Here is a 23,378-nt window from a genome sequence, read left to right on the forward strand (position 1 = left end):
TGCTGACTTACTAAGATTTAACAGGAAACTTAGACTCCACCTTTTGCCTTTGTCAGCAAAATCCCCCAGTCTCTCTGTATATGGAGATATAATTGAGAAAGATTACTTGCATTCCCTTCTCTTCTCCATAAATAAGGATGAAGGGCTATCAAGGTCAGACCAAAATTTTTACAAAGTAAATTGACAATAGTTAGGACAAGATCTTGATATTAATCCCCATTGCCGTCTCTTTTCCCTCCCCTGCTATATATAATCTTCTTGTCCCCAGCAGGTTATCTGTTAAGAGTCTGCTCTGTTTTGACCCTAGCACTTTGGAATCAGCCCAGTTGACTTTTTTATAACATGTAATATAGCCCACTCTTCACTGCTTAATTGCTTTATCATGCTAACTCCTATTACTTTACCAGGGCCTTTTTCCCCTTTCATTTTAGTGATTGTCTTGTTGCAGAATTCGCTATAACAGAATCTGACTTATGTAAGATAAGTTATTTTTGTAACCCTTGTCTAGAAAGCTCTTAGAAAGGCATGGGCAGAAAGACTGAAGAAACCCCAAGAAAACTTATCAGGAGTTTTTTGCTAGTTTGAGATTCCTCAAAAGACTCTTATCTACATTCATTCCTTTTTTTGTTTGTTTGTTTTTTGTTTTGTTTCTTTTTTTTTTTTTTTTTTTTTTTTGAGACAGAGTCTCGCTCTGTCACCCAGCACCCAGGCTGCAGTGCAGTAGCACAATCTCGACTCACTGCAACCTCCGCCTCCCAGGTTCAAGCGATTCTCCTGTCTCACGCTCCCGAGTAGCTGGGACTACAGGCACTCACCACCACGCCGGGCTTTTTTGTATTTTTAGTAGAGACGGGGTTTCACCATGTTGGTCAGGCTGGTCTCAAACATTCATTCCATTTTGTAAGATGGTAGGATATATCAATGAATGAATGAGCAAAACAATTAAAAAGTCTTGTGCAAATTTTTTGCAAGGCTAGAGACAAGATTAGTAGCTGCTAACATTGGTATAGCTCTTTACAATCCATGAAATTTTTTCACTTACATCATTTAATGTAATCTCACACCATCCCTGTAAAGTAGGTATTTTCTCCAGTTTATGTTGTCAGTGAGATCTGCAGAGATTACGGTCCCATAACAGGGAAGTGGAAGAGCCAAGGTTTCGCCTCCAGGTCTTCTGACACTGATTACAGAGATATTTTATTCTTGAATCTAGGGGACAAGAAGTTATGAGCATATTTCTTTTTGGTAAGTGGAAAGCAAGCAGGAATTTTCCTTAATGCTTAATTAGTAGACTAGAATTTCCAACTACCCCAGTGAGAGAAGTAGTATCCTGTAATGGATACAAGGTATTTTATATGAGATATGCAACACAATTTTAGATTGCCTAAAAAACAAAAGGGCACAGATTGATTTTTAATCTACAGATAATTTTATAATGAGGAGAATTAACTGAAATTTTATTGCAAAGATTATGGCAGTTCACTGTATGCAGTTAGCATGTTCAGAATGGAACTCCTGATTTTTCCCTTTCTCCAATCCTACCGCATCCATAGTCTTTCTCATATTAGTCATATACAACACCCTTTTCCAGTTGCTAAGGCCAAATATGAGTTTATACTCACCTCCTGTTTCTTTCTTAGACGTTGTATCTAATCTGTCAGGAGATCTTCTTGGCTCTAACTTCAAAATATATCCAGAATTTGACTTCTTATCACTACCTTCACTGTTTGTCTCTCTTCCAAGTTACCATCATCTCTCACCTAGATTACTAAGGTAGCCTCATAATTCATCTCCTTTTTGTACCCTATTCTCAACACAGCAGCCAGAGTGATCCTTTTAAAACCTAAGTCAAGTGAGTCTCTTGTCCCCTCAAAAGCTTTCTTCAAGGAGTCCTGCTTCTTTTAGAGAAAAGCCAGTGTTGACAATGATGGCTTTCAAGGCCCTATGAGATCTAACCCCTCCATCAGTCTCTGACCTCCTCTTCTACTATGCTGTCCATCACACTGACCTCCTTGCTGTTCCTTGAGCATGTCTTTTGTGATTCCTGCCACCAGACCTTTGCAAAGGTGCTTTCCCAGCAGCTTGAGTCTTTACTCAATGTCTCCTCCTTGATGAGGCCTACCATGACTTCCCTATTTAAAACTACAGTCTTCCTGTAGAACCCTTCCTGATCTCCTTTACTCTGCTCTTGTCTTTCTCATACCATGTATAATCTACTAACATACTGCATATTATTTACTTATTTGTGACATTTCCCTACCTCCTCGTAATATAGGCTCCACAAGGAGAGTTTTTTTGTTGTTGTTGTTGTTTTTTGTTTTTACTGGTATCTACCCAGTGCCTTAAATTACTGGGCACATAGTAGGGGCTCACTACTAATTTGTTGAATAAGTAAATGATGGATATAATTAATGAATCACCGCAAAGAAGTTACAGTTTTATTGAGGAGGTAATATTATGCTGCTTCTGGTAGCAGTTGACCAATACAGAGCCTTATGTGGTAAAACTACAGATAGAAGTGGTAGAAGTGGGAGATAATTGAAGCCACTGGAAAGGGTATATTCAATCACTTCTTGGCCTTTTGGCTGAGATCAAGTGTAGGGAAAATGAAAGTTTCACTGGCTTTGGTAGGTTAGTTTGCCAGCATTGCTTATATACTTTCCCTCAGCTTTTTGAAAATCAGATACTCTCCACATGCAGAGATAATGGTACTCATTTATCATCATAAGAACATGCACTTGTTCTTTTGCAATAGTAATGTGAAAGGGGCTCACATTTGCAAGGTTGTTAGAGTTAAAGGTAAAGGCTATGTCTATGAAACATACATATATATATATATTTTTTTTTTTTTTTTTTTTTTTTTCTGTGTGAACCCAATTTAACTGACCCAATAGCAAATGAACTAACTTGCCTAGATAATTCATTATGTGGGTAGATGGGATACAGAGATTGGAAAATGTCATTGGTGGGTTATGTATGTCAGTTGGTAGCCAGTATAGGTTTGATTTTTTCTGATGCTCTGGCCAGCCCAGTTCTTTTGGTTTAAAGTACCATTTTTTCTTTTGATGTAGTAAGAACATTTTTCTGTATAAAATAGTCCATTCCTTGGAATGGAAATGGCATTAGATCTTTGTAACTTAGGTAGTTTTTAGCACTGGATTGTTTAGTTTGTAAAAATATTTGATTTAGACTGAGCTTGTGGCCTGATGATGTTTAGAAGAGCGCCAAAGTGTAACTCATAGAAGATGCCAGTAAAAACCATAGTTGGAAGAGGTGAATAATGGTTGCATCATTTTCCTGGTAGGTGTAGCCAGGCCTAAAAATCCATCCCTGCTATTTATAAAATGTGTTCCTAAGGATAAAGTCAGCTGCTATATTGTGAACTACATTATCAAAATAAAATATATGCCAGTGCCTTGAGTCACTGTCCCACTGTCTTTACAGTGTTAAGGAAGCTATATTTCATCATTGTGTTTTATTGCAGTAATATTTACCCCCACTTTTAATGAACATTTTTGTTCCAGTGAAAACCTTGAACATACCAGGTTTTTCATTGTGATTTAACTCTTTCTTTTCTACCATTCTGACTGCAAGTGTCTCTTTGAACTGATATTTGTGTTGTCCTTGTCCTTATTTTGCTTTTTTTTTTTTTTTTCCCCCTTCCTGAGATGGAGTTTTGCTCTTGTTGCCCAGGCTGGGGTGCAATGGCACAATCTCAGCTCACCACAACGTCCGCCTCCCAGGTTCAAGTGATTCTCCTGCCTCAGCCTCCCGAGTAGCTGGGATTACAAGCATGCGCCACCATGCCCGGCTAATTTTTGTTTGTTTGTTTTTTAGTAGAGACGGAGTTTCTCCATGTTGGTCAGGCTGGTCTCGAACTCCCAACCTCAGGTGATCCACCCGCCTCAGCCTCCCAAAGTGCTGGGATTAAAGCCTGAGAACACACAAACAGAAAAGGCTGGGAGGAAGTTAGATATAACATGCAGGAGGTCCACAGTTTTAGACCAGAACTTCTGCTAGGGTAACTATGTATATTATCATCTAAACAGGAAAATTTTTAGAATAAAATAAATTATTACTAAGTAAGTCAAGACAATACTCATGAAATAGGATTGTTTCAGGCCATCCAAGACATGTGGTCATTTATTTAAAAGTGGGATGGGTGGGAAACTGCTATTTACTTAACCTCAAACTCTTCACTTTCCCAAAGGCCTTTGTAAAATATCAAAGGGGGATAGAAAAGCAGTGGAGAAAATTTAAAAAAATTTCATCCTTCAAAAAGATCAGCAACCAAGCACTTTGAGAGGCTGAGGTGGGAGGATTACGTGAGTCCAGGAGTTCAAGACCAGCCTGGGTAACATAGTGAGAACCTGTTTCCTATATGTTAATAATAATAAACAATAGACCAGGCACAATGGCTCACACCTGTAATCCTAACACTTTGGGAAGCTGAGGCGGGCGATCACATAAGCCTAAAAGTTCAAGACCAGCCTGGACAACATAATGAAACCCTGTCTCTACAAAAAATTAGCGAAGTATAGTGGCACACGCCTATAGTCGCAGCTACCTGGGAGGCTGAGGTGGGAGGATCACCTGAGCCCAGGAAGCCGAGGCTGCAGTGAGCTATGGTCACGCCACTGTACTCCAGCCTGGGCAATAAAATAAGTTCCTTAAAACAACAATAACAACAACAACAACAAAAAAAACCCAGCAACATTGACAACTCTTAGCTAGTCTGTTTATGAAAAAGAAGACTACAGTACTAAAATCTGGAATGAAAGAGGTGACAGTAATACTGACTTTACAGAAATAAACAGAATTAGAGGAAACCACATACCGTATGCAAAAATTAACACAAAATGAATCAGACCTAAATGTAAGAACTAAAATTATAAAACTCTTAGAAGAAAACATAGGAGTAATTTTTTGTGATCTTAGATGAAATGAAAACATATGTCCAACACAATAACTTGTACATGTGATAGCAACATTATTTGTAGTAGCTAAAAGGCAGAAGCAACCTGTATCCATCAACTAATGAATAGATAAATAAAAGTGTAGTGCACCATGCAGTAGAATATTACTTGACCACAAAAAAGCAATAAGGTACATGTTATAACATGGATGAGCCCTGTAAACATTGTACAAAGGGAAAGAAGCTAGTCATTAAAGACTATATACTATATGGCTGCATTTATTTGAATTGTCTACAATAAGCAAGGCCATAGAGACAAAAAGTAGATTTCTGGTTACCTCAGGGTCACAGGAAGTAGGGGAGGTGGAGTAGTAGGGGAAGTGCCTGCTAATGGGTATGGGGTTTCTTTGGAAGGGGTGATAAAATGTTCTAAAATTGATTGTAGTGATGGTTGTATAACTCTAAATATACAAAAAGCACATTTATATATCCACTTTAAGTAGATGAATTATTATCTCAAAGCATATATTGAAAAATTATATCAAGGGTAACAAGTTTGCGAGGATGCGGAGAAAAAGGAACTCTTATGCGTTGTTGGTGGGAATGTAAATGCATCCAGCCATTATGGAAAAAAGTATGGAAGTTCCTAAAATAAACTAAAAATAGAACTATCATGTGATCCATTTCTGAGTATATACCCAAAGGAACTGAAATCAATATGCCAAAGAAATATCTGCACTCCCATATTCATTGCTGCATTATTCACAATAGCTAGGAGTCAACCTAAGTGTTTATCAACAGATGAATGGATAAAGAAAATGTGGTATATGTCAACAATGGAATACTATTCAGCCTTAAAAAGGGGAAAATTCTGTCTTTTGTGATAACATGGATGAATCTTGAGGACATTATGCTAAGTGAAATAAGTCAGGCACAGACAAATACTGCTCGATCTCACATGTGAAATCTAAAAAAGTTGAACTCACAGAAGTAGAAAGTAGAATGATTGATTACCCCAGGCTAGAGGGTAGGGGAAAGGAGGGGATGGGGAGTTGTTGATCAAAGAGTACAGACTTTCAGATAGACAAGAGGCATAAGTTTTGAGAATCTATTGGATAACAGGGTGACTGTGGTCAATAATAATGTATTATATATTTCAAAATAACTAAGAGACTAAATTTCAAATGTATCACCATAAAAAAATAGGTACTCCAGCCTGGGCAACAGAGCCAGACCCTGTCTCAAAAAAAAGATAAATAAGCAAGATGATAAGATGGTGGATATGTTAATTAGCTTGATTTAATCATGCCACATTTTATTTTATTTTTATTTTATTTATTTATTTATTTGAGGTGGAATCTCGCTCTGTCTCCCAGGCTAGAGGGCAGTGGTGCAATCTCAGCTCACTGCAACCTCCACCTCCCAAGTAGCTGAGATTACAGGGGCACACCACCACGCCCAGCTAATTTTTGTATTTTTGGTAGAGATGGGGTTTCACCATGTTGGCCAGGCTGGCCTTGAACTCCTGACCTCATGTGATCTGCCTGCCTCAGCCTCCCCAAGTGCTGGGATTACAGGTGTGAGCCACCATGCCTGACCTAATTATGCCACATTTTGTACAAATATCAAAACGTCACACTGTACCTCATAAATGTATATAGTTATGATTTGTCAATCAAAAATAATACTAATTTAAAAATTACATCAAGGGGCAGTTGACCTGTAGCATGGGCTGTGTTGCCCTCAAATTACATGCACACATATGCATTATACAGTTGTTCTGTGGCAACTTTGCTTTTATATGTTTTACAGATTGTGCATCCCCTCTCTCCTACGCACCCCTCAACCACTGTTCCATTAACCCATAAGACGTTCTTTGAAGAAAGTGTACTGTGGCAGAAAAGTAGTTTGAAAATCTCTGGAAACAATGAGATCCAGAACCTCCTCCAGCTCTAACAAGTCATGATTCTGATGCATTGAATTTAGAATATGAACTTGGCCTAGATTACTCCATTTTAACTCCGTGTCGACTAAAGGAAAGCTGTGAACAAAGTCAGTTTTTTCCCACATAGCTGCACACAGGTGTGACTTAGTGGAAACTGTGGAACTCAGCCAGATCTTTAGCTCCCTAGTGCAGTGCTCTATCTCCAAGCCCTACTTCCTGTTCTTGAATTCAGTGATTTGCTAAAATAGAGACACCTGGTTCCAGCACCTTGCAAATGGATTTTTCCTTTCAGCATTTTAAAGTACATTCATGTATTGATGAAGAGCTTTCTCTGGAAAGCCATCTGTCTGAAATCTGCAGGAAAAAAAAAATCTCCCTAGCTGTCTTAGATATTCATAATGGTATGTGTTGCTTCACTCCTCTACTCCTGCCTCCTGTTCCCTTTTCCTCATGTTTTCATTCATTTTACAAAACAAATATTTATGAAGCACCTAGTATGTGCCCAACACTACATATGTAGCAGTGGACAAGACTAATTAGTCCCTACAATTAAGGATATTGCCATCTAGTAAGGAAACATGTGGACAACCACAACAACAAAAACTTTAAAGATTTTTGAGTCATGGTTAAGAGCTATGAAAGAAATAAGGTTCCGAGACAAACTATGTAGGATGTGATTTTAAAATGAACTCCAGAGTTATATTGCCAGTGTTCAAATTCCAGTTTCACCATTTACTAGCTATGTGTTTTTTTTTTTTTAAGGGGGCAGACAGGATCTCGCTTTGTCACCTAGGCTGGAGTGCAGTGGCGTGATCATGGTTCACTGCAACCTTAGACTCCTAAGCTCAAGCTATCCTCCCAAGTAGCTGGGATTACAAGCATGCATCTCCATGCCAGCTAATTTTTTTTATTTTTTGTAGTGACGGGATCATGCTATGTTGTACAGGCTGATCTCAAACTCCTGGCTCAGGAAGTCCTCCCATGTCAGCCTCCCAAAGATCTGGTATTATAGGCATGAGCCACTATGCCCAGCCTAGCTGTATGATTTTGAGCAAGTTGCTTAACTTCTCTGGGCCTCAATCTTTTTGCCTTAAAATGGGGATAATAATAGAAACTTCTTTAGTAGAGTTGTTCTGAGGATTAAATGAGTTGATGTACATGGTGCACATAGAAAAGTTCCTGGAGCATACTGTGCATCCAGTAAGTGTTACCTATATGTTGGCATTGTTGCTTTAAAGAATATCAGGGAATCAACTAATTAGGTTAGCATTGTTATCATCTTAATCACCATCATCATTGCCATCTACAGATACTTATCTTGCCACATTTATGTGCATTGTGCCCAAGATTTACAGAAGTGGATATAACATGCTCTTGGACTCAAGAAGCTTACAATATAGAGTGTAAGGATTAAAAGAAAATTGCAGTATATATACTAAGTGCTAGATAAGTGATAGAGACAGCTTGTTCTACAGCATTGTAGGGAAGAGAGCAGTTATTGTGGGCTCATAAAGAGAAGGCCTCTCGGAGGAAAATGGACTCTTATGAGGGAGAGCATTCTAGGCTGAAAGAACAGCACAAGTGAGGATTTGGACATAGGAAGGTGAATGTGAAGTTCCAGAATGGAGACTTTGAATAGAGGAGCAGTGAGGTGTGGGTTAAAGAGGAGGCCCCAGCATTCTGGTTAAAATTATTTAGTAAACAGTAATCTGCCATGTCCAGATTCTGAGGTGGAGTAATCAAATAAGATTTCTCTAATTCACCTGAGGCCTACTAGTTTACATATTGCCTTATTTCAGGTTCCCATAATTGTCATCTAGTTGATTGCTTTCCAACTGGTGTTGCTACCTGCAGTCTCTAGTCACCTACTCCCCTCTGCACATTTTTATCGCATTAATTTTTCTCAAACATCCTTTTGTCACTGACTTGCTTGAAAAGTTCTTAGAGTTCTCCATTGTGCATAGCGGTGTTTCTGAAACATTAACGTGCATAAGAATTACTGGGAGTTCATTGTAGGTGCAGATCACTAAGTCCCACCTTCAGGTCACATGCTTATGACATGGTGCCTGAGAATCTCTATTTAAACAAGTGCCCTAAATGATTCTGATTCAGGTGCTCAAGAGTCACTGCTTTGAAGACAGGCCTAAAATGAGGAGTGCAAGTCTCTTAACCTGCCACCCAGAGTCTTGCTTTATCCTGCCTTTTCAACCACATCTTCTGTTGTTCTGATTAATAAACCTTTTATTTGAGCCAAATGGGACATTTTCTTTTCCATACACTTACTTTTTCCTTACAGTTATGCTCTTTTTTCATCTTTTGTGTCTTTTTTGTGTGTTTCCCTAAGCCTCATTGTCTCTACTGCCATTTCAACAAGTCCAAATCCTGGCTTCTTTCTGTCCTGGTTTAGGTATGTCCAGAAAGCATCTTTAGTAAATGAGTACATCTCTAACCTAGAAGGTAGGCTCCAATTTTAACTCATCCTTTTATCTACTCCCCTACCCAGGAATCTAATGAGCACCTTGCAAATGATTCCCTTCATTTGTCCCTCCCTCCCTCCCTCCCTCCTTCTTTCCTTCCTTCCTTCCGTAAAGATTTACTGAGCACCTACTGCTTACCAATGAACTGTTCTAGGTGCTAGGTGATAATGTAGGGGAAAAAAAACCCTCTCAAATTCTGTTTTCATGGACCTTACATTCTCATTGGGCAACTGTTTATAAGTAAATATTGAAAGTGTTCTGAGAGTAATCTGGCAGTGCTATATGGGATATATTAGGAATGGGAGAGACCTGTGAAAGAAATTAACTAAGGAACTCTTGCAAGTGGCCTTTAGACAGTGGAAAGGGTCAGTGAGAAAGTAAAAAGGAAACAGCAAGAGTAATTAGTGAAATGAAGGAATGACCAATAGTATTTGATGGGGGCCACAAAAGTTTATTTAATAGTTGAGCTTTTGAGAAGAAAAAAATGTAAAATGGATAGGTGATGTTTTTGGTAAAAGACATTAAAAATGTTATGATGCATTAGATATGTTGTTTATGATGTTGATAATGGGGCATCCAAATGCTTAGTAGCAATTAGAAATACAGAGGTATTATAAGAGGCCAGGCCTCTCTCTCCTTTTCCCCTTCTCCAATTTATCTCAAAAATCTTATGTCTGTCTTGTTGTTCCAGGTCCAAAATTTCTTCCCAAGAATTTGTGTCTCATTCAATTGGTTTTTCTGGGAATCATGGCATGACTTCATGTCTTAGCCCCATTTCTCTGATTGCCAAATGTTTGTCTATAAAGAGGACTAGGTCCAACCCTAGAACATTGTCTCTAATCATAGCCTTCCTTTGAATGGTTCTCGGCTGATTAATGGTTTGGCTTGTGGGAGGAACTAGGAAGACAACATAATTGAACTAGAGATTCCTTTAAAATTGGGTACAGTCGTGAGTGTCATGCCCCTATGGGAATATCACTGTGGTCATTTATGATTCTTAGCAAAATAGGCAAAGTTTGGAAAAGCAAATTGTAAAAGCTTTGGCATAACACATAGACAGGTTGGAAAGCTGCTTGTAATCATCTGGAAAATCATTTTTTTCCATTCTTGCAGTTGCTCTGACTAAAAAAAACTCAAATTGTTCCTGACTCCTGTCTTTCTCTCATAATACTAAACATCCAGTCTATCAGCAAATATGGTGTGTGTGTGGGTGTGTGTTTTATATATACATATATATATTTTATTGGCTGGCTTCCCCCTAGAACGTAAACTTCATGAAGGTAAAAGCTTGGTTTTTTTATATCCTTAGCTAGTGCCTAGAACATAGTAGATGCTCAATAGCAATTTGATGAATGAATGAATGATGTGAAATTAAATTTTATTTCACATTTTGCTAATTAGTTTTGACATTAGCTCTATCTTCAAGAAGCTTGGGAAATATTTTATCCCAATAAATTATTCTAGCTAAAGCCCAGCAGCACAATATTATTTGGTAATATTATTAACCAAATAATATTATCTTAGTGTAAGAAAAAGTAGAAACTTTATTTCTTAACTAGAGAAATGTCAGAAAGTTTTGAAGTCTAAGAACACTCTTTAATGGTGCTAATTTGGTAATAGTGTTGTGAATGTGATATTCTAAAATTTAGCCTTAAAAGACATCCTAATAAGATCAGCTGGTAATCATACACCAGGTATGATTAAAATTTACTTTTTAATTCATAGTTTTTAAAGAAAGTTTTCTTAGCAGTTTGGAGACTGGATTACTACTTTAATGTTTGAAAAGATGATGCTTGATATTTGAGAGGAAGAATGTCTTCTTTTTAACCTTTAAACTTTATTCAAGCAGTTCCATATGACCAAAAATATCCAAGCTTAATGTATACATTAGATTACCTTCATTAATATACAGAAAGTTGCTTTCTTAGAACAGCAAGAATGACTTGTGACATATCAGCATATTAAAATTTACTGGTGCTATGGGGCTAGCTGACCAGAGATATTGTTAGGAATTTTTACCTGATTTAGAGAATACTTTGAATTTCCAAGGATTGAAGGAAGAGGTTATGATCAAAGCATTTGTGTGGAAGGTCATTTTGGTGTAGTGATTATTTTTATGGAGTAGCAGAGAAGAACAAAGTATTTGTAATGGAAAAGAAGAATTGGCTGCAGGGCATAAACAAATATTTCTCTCTAACATCTTAGCCATTGCATTTCAAGTCTGTTGCATCATTACTTTTTAAGGTATTGATAACATATGACAGAGAGAGAATATATGGCTTTAGTTCAGTTTAAATATGATCTATACAAAGTAAAGGGTGGCTAATACAAGTTTGCAAATGACTTTCCATTCTGTTGGGTCTTGATGGATTTCCATAAAATTAGTTAGGTAGTAGAGAATATTGAGACTTGGGTTTACTTTGAAGAGAATCTAGCATTAATTACACCAGGTTTTTTAAATTAAATAGAATAAGTAATAATGAAAATCAAGTCAAATATTTCTATCTGGCAATGAAAACCAGCTACTGGATGAAGTTAATTGCTTGACCATTGTCATCACTTTCTCAACTTGTACTGAATATTGGGGGTAAATTAGTTTTAAAAGCATGTCTTTTTCTTGCTTCATTTCCATGAATCCTACATAATTTCTTTAAAGGGATATGTATGATTTAGGGGATAAAGTAATCAAATAAGGATTTGTATGTATTTCATCAATAGAAATTTCTCCAAGTTCAACTATAGTTTTCTTATCAAAAAATTACATTCACAGTTGCAAGGCAGAGGCCCACTGGAATAGTTAATAAGCACAGTCGACTTCTATATTGCTGCAGAAACTAAATACAAACTTTTCTGTGACTTACATATAGGCTCGGTAAACTTTCATCTGCTTCAGGGTCAGGGCTGATTCAATCTTAAAGCAAGTTTATGAGAGTGGCTGATGTGATACAGTTGTTTCTGGTAAAATCAGACTAGCTCTAAGGAGCCAATCTAAGTCAGTCTCTGAGTCAAATTCTATGAAAAACAGACTCCAACTCAGACACAATTGTAAACCCTAATATAATGAGGACTTGCAGCTGATTTAATCCTATTGAAAATCTTTAAGCAGCTATGGGACAAAATGGTTTCCACATTGACATCAGTGGAATGAACCTTGGATTTCATCAGTCTGAAGAGTAGTTACCCTGTACACACAGTAGCCACTTTGTAAGAATTAACATCATGGCCATTTCAAAGCAGGTTGTTGTTTCTTATGTAGAGGCATCTGTTTTGATTAAGGTCCAAGTTGCCAGAATGTGTCAGGTGTGTGTGTGTGTGTGTGTGTGTGTGTGTGTGCGTGTTTTAACTGAATTCATTACAAAAAGCAAACAAGTCAAACTTAAACTCAGAGCCTAGTATAAATCAATTAGATCCAGTCTCCTTGAACAAAAATGACCAACCTATTCCTATTCACTATATATGTGAGCAACATAGAGAAAGAACGGAACAGAGAATGAGAACTGTTTTTGAGTTAAACTATATGCAAAGTTTTGCCTGGAACTAATTATTTTTTTCATGAACTTAGAAGTCCCTGAAAATAAGCTTATGCTGTGAAATCATATATGTATAAAGGGACAAACACACACAAAAGTCTAAAGGTCAACACTGCAGATAAAATCTCAACAGGAAGGTTTTGAACTTACCTATGTGCCCATGTTGGTAGGTGGATACATATACTTTTTTTTTAGTTTATCATATTGAAATAGGCACTGATAATGATCTAGGTGTTATAGTCAGTTTAGCACTAGTCTTAGTTCCTTTTCATAATTTACAACTTAAATTAGAACAATAGACCAAACACAGACTGCAGTAAAACACAACCTTGACTGAACTATCTGCATGCTGCTTTTATTGCAGTTAGCACTTAGCAGGCAGTAGTGGCCTCATACTGTTACTTCAAAGAGCCGGAAAAGTAACTTCATGAAAGGGAAAACTTGAAACTGTAGTACTCTTTATCTTTCTGTCTGTTAAGCAGTGATGGGTATCATTAGTTCTGCTCTTTTGCATAATTACTGCAGTATTGTGAAAAACATTTTTGCCATTCAACTGGGAACAATTATATTATTTGAGATCTTGTATAGCATTTAGTTTTAGAGAAATAAAAGATAAAAAGCCCTTGTTTTCTAGCTCTGGGTATCTGTAGTAAGGTAGTGCATACAGTGCTTGTTCAAGTTTGTTTATTTTTTTCATTAAAAATAACATTAATTGGTGACACTAAAGGAGACATTTCATATTGAAGTCAATTCTTTTTGATGTGTTTTTGTTTAATGTGCTTGCTAAGATAAATTTCATCTAGCACATCACTGAGTTGAGATGGTAATTCATTAATAAAATGATAAAGGTTTATGAACCATAATATGGACATCATTGAAATTTTGAGACTTAAAAATATATTCTTATTGTTGTCTAGATTAAATTAATACAATTTTCTATTTATATAAAGCTTCCAGTGTAGATTATCTCTGTTAAAAGCATGCGACAGCCTCTCCCAACCACCCCACCCTACCTCATCCCACAAACTTCTAAAGCATAGAGCTAGAAGTATGTTTGCAAATGTTTACACAATGAGGTGCATAACTTTTTCAAGTTTGTAAAAATTCTCCTTTGTAATCTCAGTATGTGAAACCATTAAAATACTGTAACTTTTTTTACTGTATTTGTTAGATAAGATGTTAACTTTTTGGAAAATACTACTACATTATAGCAAGGGCGGTAAAATTAGGATGAAGATCACAGTTATATATAGATGTGATTGTCACTTTGATTCTGTGGTTTTACACTTGACTTTTTATAATTTATAAGATATGAAATATAATCTCATAATTGGCAAAATATATTTTGATCAAGGAAAAGGTATGACTGTTGCCTGTTGGAAATATTACTTCAGCACGGCTATTATATTACCATAATTATGATAGGAAGTTAGAAGAAATTTTGGATATGCATATGTTTGGTATATAGTAAGTTTTCTTACAAAGACAAAAAGATTAAAACACATAATTTTAATTAAAAGCCTGGAATAGATGCTGAATTTCCTTTTCTTGTCAGCCATCAAAACAAAAATTGTATTTGTTTTTGTCCTTAATAATTCTCAAAAGGTTGGTTTCCACAGGTTTTTCTTTAAAATTTTAAGCATCCATTTATTTGCAACATTTTTATTAATGAGCTGACATTTGAATATGTTCATAAAAATGTTGATATGGCTGAACAAGAAGTTTCAATCAAGCTTCCCCAAAATGCTACTGAAGAACATCTAATTAATATAACCCAAAATTAGTTTAATGCATTCCTTGGTATTGTTGCATTATTCAAATGTGGTTTTATTTACTACTCCTGAGACACTATGCCTCTTAACCAAACTCCAGAGTGAGCTGGTAAACTTACCTATCTTAATACATTGAAAAGAGGAATTAGCTACAGTTGGTTAGCTACCAGTACGGCTTTCAGCACCTTCTCCATGGTGGCTAGTATCTGTACCGTATACAGCTGTGAAAGGATGGGAAAATGCGCTGAAATGATCTAAGAAGTAAACTATCAACTTGACATGTTTTCCTAGCTATTGAAAACTGTCTCATATTGAAACCCGTTGATAGTGAAACTGTAGAATTCCACTGATTTAAGTACCATCTGGTTGTGCTCAAGGCTTTAAAGCTGTTATCTCTGCATAAAATTTCAGAGTCCTATACTTTTTTCTTCACCAAACTATCCATTTTTAAGCCACAAATATTTTTCCAGCTCTCTCAGATTTTATCTAAAAGTATATTTTAACAGCATTTAAATAGTTCTTAAACAATAACAATTTATCTTGATAGATGGCATGCTGTATTTTTTCATTTTATTTTAATTAGCCATTGTGGAACTAAATTCCCTTTTGTTTTAGTCTTTTGAATATTAATTATCATTATCATGCCAGATATCTTAAAGGTTATTTTACCAATACAGTTCCATTTAACATAACCCATATGGAATCAATATCCCAGTTTCCTAAAGTGAATGCTTGGAAAATCTTACATTCATATGTTAAGAGTACACATCCTTTCCTCATTAGTTGGAAAGTACAGGGATTTTGGCACAGGTTCTGTGTGGAAGCATTGTGCAGCTTTTATATGGATTTTGTTTTTAGCCTTTGATGACACTGTTTAGAATAGGAAGTATCTAATAAGTAAAGCATTTTGTCTCAAGTGCTGCCAGTGTGTTTAATATATGCCTGGAGGTCTGAAACATTATCTTCTTCGATACAGTAATATGCATTTAATTCTCTGAAAGCAGAAGGTCGAACTTTTGAAAGGGACGCAAAGTACATTTTCAAACAGAATAATTCAAAACATATGGAACAGAGGACCGAAGTAATGTACAGTTGGTTTTTATGGCTTAATCATGATCATGTTAATGCACACCAGTAGCTAATTAAAGAAAACTTTTATTGTTCATCTTAAATAAGTTAGGTAAAGAGTGGGAGAGCTGATGTAACAGCACTGCCCAGAGATACATGTTTCTGCTGCACCAACAGCAAGCAGATACTGCTATTTTTGACAACTTAAATTATTAGTCCCCTTGGACAATAATAAAGCACAAGTTACTTTCAGAGTTATTATATTGTGAACTCTTCGTTTTCCACAAAGGAATAGTAAATTGATGCCCAAGTTTAGGGCCCAGCACACATAATTAATTATAAAACTTTTCTTAATAGTGGACCAGATACCCTTCAATATAGTAAATCTGCAGTGGACTGGTGACAAACCAGTGGATTTTTAAATATGTCTCAAAATCATCAGCTTGTTTACTTCAGTGCTACAGATAGTTTAGAGGCTTAAAAAAAATGGAGGAAATCCTGGCTTTTAACCCAGTTTTAGGAATTTAGTTTTCTAGTACTGGGTAAGTTGTACTTTTTCTTTTCCTTCCAATGAAAGCCAGAGTCTTTCATCTCTAGGTCATTGGTTCAAATTCCATTCTGCTCAGTAGTGATTAGAATTAGTTACCATCTGACTTCTGTTCAGTAACCTTTGTGACCTGAGCTGATAGCTGCCATCCTGCCACTGCTGGTTATTTATAGCTCAAGATCACACCACTTGACATTTGCTGGAGACTAATGTAGCAGTCTCAGCACATAATATAGGCTGGATGCTAAATTTCTTTACCTTTCTCTACAGGTGGTTTGTTGTTTTATGTTAACACCTATGGGAACACTTAATCCACTTTAAAGAGGGAGAGAGTAGATTTTAAGTATAAATCTGTAAATCAGAAGTAAAAAATGCTCTATGCATAGAAACTATAGTTTCATTTAGTTAATTGTGGTTGACTTTCCTGAGTCAAAGAATGAAAATAGCTTATAAAGCTTGAGTTCTTGATTGGAGTTTGCCATGGAACTCAACCTAAAGGATTTTTTAGTTATACTGTATTTAGATATTTAGTTTGTAATGCCTCAAAATATGCTTGATTTCACATTTGACTGCTTAAGTACTTGATTTCATCACTTTTCACATGTTATGTGAGAATTCCTAGTTGGTAATATATTTGGAGGTTTATTTGAAATTTTCATAATAAGGATAACTAAAATGAAACTTATTTTGATAACAATTATCTTTATCTTACTGAATTTTTAAATATGTTCATACATTTATTCAGTCAGCACACAATTATTAAGCTTTATTATGTGATAAGCACTATAGTATGTTCTAGGAAAACTAACATGATGTTTCCTCTTACCCAAAGCCTGCTAGCTGTCTGACCTTGGAACTATTGATCAATCTCTATAAAACTCAATTTTCTCAGCTGTAAAATGGAGATAGTAGTACTCCTCCTCAAAGAATTATAATGTTAGCTTATGTAATGTGCTAACAGTGTCTGGCAAATAATAAACATACTCAGTGGTATTTTATTTTTTCTTCAATTGCTCACAATCCCTGAGACAGAATATAGTGTGAAAATTGCTATAATATTAGTTTGTTATAAAAGCATAGCAGTGGGAAGGACTAGCACCACCTGGAAGGGTTGCTGAAGTCTTCACAAAGAAGGTGAATTTTTTAACTTACCCTTTTTAGAGTGCCTACTGTGTTTGTTCAATATGTTAATTAATTTTATGCTGCAGCAACCCTATGAGTTAGGTATTAATGTCCCAATGTGAGGACACAGACGGAAGAGATAGGATTCTTTGAAGTATGATCAGCCCACAAGGTAGAGTATGCAGATCAGGAAAGACACTATGAATGACTATGTCTGGGGAAGACCTTAAGGAGTACAGTATTGAGAATTCTCCATTTACATTTCTTTATATCGTAACAATCATGTAACTCTAGTCTGCTGGGCAATTTTTTCATTTAATGTTGTATCAAAGATAAACATATCAAACATTCGTGGATTCTCTTCAGTGTGCTAGGCACTGCCCTGCTCTTCAGTGATATATAGAAGCAGAATTGTATACTCCATTCCCTCTAACAGTTCTTCACCTGGTAAAAGAGACAAACACATAACAGCTGCCCATTGTTGGATATTTACTGTAAGGCAGGCACTGTGCTGTTCATTCAGTCATTGCAGTAACTCTCTGAAGTAGGAGTTATTATCCTCATTTTACAAATGATATTATATAGCCTTAGATTTGTAATTTGTTCAGAGTCATACAATTAGAGAGTGTTGGACTTGATCCCACATCTGTGTGACTACAAAGCCTATATGTTGTCTTAACACTGTCTGATACTGTCACCACAAAACATTTTAGTAAAATATATCATATAATAGAAGTATAAGTGAACTACTAAGATCACCAAGAAGGAAAAGAGTGAGAGAACAGTTCTTGGACAAATGTCACTTATCTTGATGGATAACTAAATGTTCATCGGCTACAGCAAGCTCAGAGGGGCACTCCAAGAAAGGAAAGAGCACAGTATAGACTGCATAGTTTGAAAGAATATGGTGTCTTCAAAGGACAGAAACAAGTCCTTTTTGTTTCAAATAGCTAATGCTGGATTTCTCTAACAATGTGACTTTCTCAACAACTATAAAAACCAATTAACAAGAAATATTCTTAAAAGAATTTTAATGAGGATTACCTCACTTTCTTGACTTATTTATTCTTACATAAGTTGTTATATATATATAAGTTATTGCATATATATATATTATTATATATAAAAATATGTTTTTTTTTACCAATCAAATTAAGGAGTTTTTAAAATAATAAGCAGCTTTGGGAGGCTGAGGCAGGAGGATTGCTTGAGGCCAGGAGTTTGAGACCAGGTTGGGCTACACTATGAGACCTCATTTCTACAAAAAATGTAAAAATAAGCTAGCCATGGTGGTGCATGCCTGTAATCCTAGCTCCTCCGAAGGCTGAAATGGGAGGCTTCCTTGAGCCACCACTGAGGGGTTGTAGGCTGCAGTGAGCTATGATCACACCACTGCACTCCAACCTGGGCAACAGAACAAGACTCTCTCTTTAAAAATAGTAATAATAATAATAATAATAATAATAATAATAATAATAATAAGAAGAAGAAGAAGAAGAAGAAGAGAAAAGAAAAGAAAAGAAAAGAAAAGAAAAGAAAAGAAAAGAAAAGAAAAGAAAAGAAAAGAAGAAGAAGCAATACCCAGTTACCCAGTACTTTGGGAGACATTTTTTATCGCTGATAGTAATGTAACTTAGTGCAGCCTTTTTGGATAGATGTTTGACAATATTCAGTAACTTTAAACTTTTTCGTACCATTTGCCTAATAATTCCACTTTTTAAAAATATTTTTGTTTTTGTTTTTGTTTTTGAGATAGGGTCTCACTCTGTCACCCAGGCTGGAGTGTGGTGGCATGATCTCGGTTCGCTGCAAACACCACCTCCCAGGCTCAAGCCATCAGCTTCCTAAGTAGCTGGGACCACAGGGGCACACCACCAGGCCTGGCTAATTCTTCATATTTTTTGTAGAGATAAGGTTTTGTCATGTTGCCCAGCCTGGTCTCGAACCCCTGGTCTCAAGCAGTCTTCCCACCTCAGCCTCCCAAAGTGCTGGGATTACCAGTGTGAATCACTGCACCTGGCCTAATAATTTCACTTCTAGGAGCCTGTCTGTCCTGAGAAAATATTACTAGGTGTTTGTCAGCACTAATTGAAAACTTGAATATCCAGTTATATGGGAATGGTAGAACAAATTGTTTCTAACACTAAATGAAATGTTATGCAGCTTTAAAAATTATATTTATGAAGAGTACATTAGCATGTCAACATTTGAGTTATCAATTTGTCCCTATGGTATCATTACAACCATAAAGGGATACAAGTGAAGCAAACCTGTGCATAGGTAGGAAACAAAGACTGAAAGGAAGAGCCATGAAATATTACTATTGGTTATGTTTGGTGATAAGATGGGGTGGGGTAGTTTTTTTTACTCTTATGGATTTTTTATGGTTACCTTAATAATTCTGTTGAAAAAGCAAGTAAAATATCTAGGTGCAGAATAGCAAGTTGCAGACTGATGGTTAGGCAGTCTAAGAAAGAGGAACTGATGTTCTTGGAGCCAAATGATTATAACTCTTGCTGCCACCAAGTTGCTCTTTGTTCTATACATGGGGAGTCATTGGTGGAAAATTTTGAGAACTAGTAGCCTTTATTGCACAAAGGAATAATCTACCCTCAAGGGTTTAAATTACTTAATAACTGACTTGATTTTACTTTATCACTTATATTTGTCCTTGTTTTAAGTCCTATTGTAGTAGGAGAAAATAAACATCTTTTGAAATGGCATGCATTTATTTTAGTGTACTTTTCTTTGTCCTTCATAATTTAGGACTACTGATTTTTCCCTTTCTTACTGTCCAAAAACCTATAAATCAGTTTTATAAGAAAGGTAAGGAGTATAGCATAAACTACTTCTACGTAAAATGTAATTTCAACCACCAGTAATCATGATTTTGCAGACAGTTTATTATATTGCTTGAGAAATCACTATAAAAGTATGTATTAAAATAATTCTTTAAAGAGACATTTTAAAAGATATATGCTATTCTGTATTAATGCAAAGAAAGAAGATCTGACATTCAAAAATATATTTTAATGATGGAAATGAACATTAGATGCTTTTTCTCAAGTATTTCCTTGGCATTTTTAGGTGATTTTAGGGGTCTGGTGTAGAAAATGGGCACCTATTCTATTTTTCTGATTACTGTTTTAAGTTATACTAGACTCATTTTTAAAATTTTCTCTTTGACAACATGTTTATATAACATTGTTTATATGACACTTGGCATGTAACTAGTTTGAAATATTTTATTACTTTTTTCTTACAGATCTCTAAACAAGAACAGAAAAAAGTGGATATATTTGATGGAGGCATGGCTGAAACCTCATCTCGCTACAGTGGTGCTCAGGATAGTGGAATTGGCAGTGACAGTGTTAAAATCAGAATAGTGCAAATAGAGCAGCACAGTGGTGCCAGTCAGCATCGCATTGCCCGTCCCTCACGCCAGTCATCAATTGTAAAAAATCTAAATTTTATTCCCTTTGACATATTTATTACTGCAAGTAGAATCTCACTAATGACCTATTCCTGTATGGCCTTATCCAAATCGAAATCACAAGAACAGAAGAATAATGAAAAAACAGACAAGAGTTCATTAAATCTCCCAGAAGTTGATTCAGATGTTGCTAAGCCCAACCAGGCATGTATTTCCACGGTGACAGCAGAAGATCTCTTAAGGAGCAGCATTTCTTTTCCTTCAGGGAAAAAAATAGGGGTCCTCTCTCTTGAAAGTCTTCATGCATCCACAAGGTCATCTGCTAGACAAGCACTTGGTATAACTATTGTTCGGCAGCCTGGTCGAAGAGGAACTGGTGACTTACAGCTAGAGCCTTTTCTGTACTTTATTGTGTCCCAGCCTTCCTTGCTTCTGAGTTGTCACCACAGAAAGCAGCGAGTGGAAGTATCCATTTTTGATGCTGTGCTTAAAGGGGTGGCCTCTGATTACAAATGTATAGGTAAGAACCTTCAAACTTACTGGAGTGCTAATAATTACTATCTAATAAGTTGTATTCCCATAGTTTCCAGATTGATTAAACAGAAACAGCTGGCAGACAAAAGTCTTTTCTCTACAGAATATGGAAAGTTCATGTTCCACAGCTGAATCCTGTTTAAGTAAATGTTTGAAATGTATTGAGGTTTAGCTTAGTATTCTTACTATGCCTCTGAATATTCATTCTTTTTCCAGGAACTGAATGAATCAGGAACTCTTTCTTGACTATAGAGATGCTTAACAGTTTCCAGTGTTTGGAAAGCATAGCTCGTTTTCATATTAATGGCCCATAGGTATGCTTTCCATGTTAATGCTTCTATTCAGATTAAAAAAGAAAAGCCTTAGAAGATGAAGTTTGTTTTTGGTATTCTTTTGATGTAATCATCTTCATGCAATAGCATCGTATTAAATGTAATTGAGAAGGTTTATTAATAAAGATTATTTAAAGATTTTTGTACATCTACAGAAAATATATTGATGTTGGCTAATTTGCTCTTGCTGCCCAACCCATCCCTTCCTTATTCTAATTATAATAATTATATGAAACTTCCGAAGCTTTTTGCCTGTTGAGACTAGGAAAGTGAGCAGGGTTCAGATTTAAGACATACAAGTTATTAAGTAACAAGGGCCAGTGGAGTCAAGCAAGGTGACAGTATACCCTTTCCCTGAGTTAATGTAGATTTGGAGATTTGGCCAAAAAAAACTGGAGAGGGTAGCTGGGTCACCTAAGATTCAGTATTCAAAGAGGGCTCTAGCAAGCTCAGGAATAGTTCAGGCATTTTATTGCTTTCAGCTGGTCCCATCCAGTAGGTGGAAGCCAGCAGTGAGGCATTCAGACAATGTATCTAATCTGGAATTCAGGTTTGTTCATTCTTGCCATTAAGAAGGACCATTTTGCACAGCAGGATCCTGAAAGGTAGATGGCAGGTGTGGGAATCAGGATTCAGCCTGAGGAAATAGGATCAAAGGAGCTCTAGGCCAGGGTTTAGTGCAAGTCCCCTGCTTTAAGAAAGGGGTAACTAGCCAGTTGCTGAGGAGTAACCTAGGGTTACCCCCAGGCTGCTTGCTGGCCCTCTCTCCTGTGCAGCTCATAATGGGTCAAAAGAGCTGATTGTTAGACTCAGGAACTTTGCAAGACAGTTGTTAAACTACTAGTAGCTTAAATTGGCCATGGTGAAAGTATTTATGCCGCAGATGCTTGCAAACTCAATCATATCAGCTCTCCTACACCAAGAGCCATTTGTTAAACCCTTACCAGCAACAACTGCCTCTCTTTCTCAAATATATTCTCATTTACTGGGTGCCTGTGATATAACAGGTACTTCAGGGGCAATGAAAATGTGGGAGATGCTGGTATAGTGGAACATGTTATGTGATTCAAGAACTCATGCCTATATACCTGATACCTGCTTGCAAGTCTGCTTGGCGTTAGCCAAAACTTAAGTGCAGGATTAGGAGATGAATTCTTAATTCTCAGCCCTTCATTAAGTTCACTCAGCTACAGTCGCTCTATAGGTGGGTGGCCCGTACTAAAAATCATCAGGAGAGGCAGAGGAAAGTAGGAGGGGGAAAGGGGCCGAGAGGAACAGCTATGACCTCTTCCTAAATTTGTAGATATGCAGAGATCACAGAAGCCTCATTTTGCTTACTTCAAGCCCAACCTAAGGATACTCTGTATATAACCTCAACCTTTGAAATTGTTAAACTGAGGCAAGCCAGGGACCACAGTAATAGAAAAGAACTGCCAATGATGGACTTGTTTCCACTTTCTGAAATTGTAAGAGAAGATTGGCTTCAGTCTGTTTTATTGATATACTCCCAAATCATGTGTTTATACATTTTCATCTAAGTCTGTATTCAGCAAAGTTATAAGAGCTCATACCAAAGATAGGCATTTGAATTATAATCAATTCCTAGGTTAAAATAATAGAACACTTGTTTAAAGCGGGGAAAAAACCTTGTATGTAAACTGACGTGGAACCCAATTTTGGTACATGAAGCTAGAGTGGTGGTC

At 36.5% G+C, this 23,378-nt stretch overlaps 1 protein-coding gene across 2 annotated transcripts in view, besides 1 other annotated feature; it reads left to right on the forward strand.

The window, feature by feature from the left end:
* Positions 1-23,378, forward strand: part of VPS13B (vacuolar protein sorting 13 homolog B) — an 864,307-nt gene that overhangs the window by 607,896 nt on the left and 233,033 nt on the right. For both annotated transcript variants that reach the window (NM_152564.5, NM_017890.5), the window contains exon 34: positions 20,642-21,329. In NM_152564.5, the coding sequence (NP_689777.3) occupies positions 20,642-21,329 (688 nt within the window). The remainder of the gene's footprint in view (positions 1-20,641; positions 21,330-23,378) is intronic.
* Positions 21,963-22,547: an enhancer, noted in NCBI's record as "OCT4-NANOG hESC enhancer chr8:100655360-100655944 (GRCh37/hg19 assembly coordinates)". NCBI's record gives its function as "activates a minimal SCP1, AML or CMV promoter by ChIP-STARR-seq in naive H9 embryonic stem cells {active_cell/tissue: H9 hESC(naive)}" and the evidence as "EXISTENCE:reporter gene assay evidence [ECO:0000049][PMID:30033119]".

This window comes from Homo sapiens, chromosome 8 (assembly GCF_000001405.40).
Source record: "Homo sapiens chromosome 8, GRCh38.p14 Primary Assembly".
Classification (NCBI taxonomy): Eukaryota; Metazoa; Chordata; class Mammalia; order Primates; family Hominidae; genus Homo; species Homo sapiens.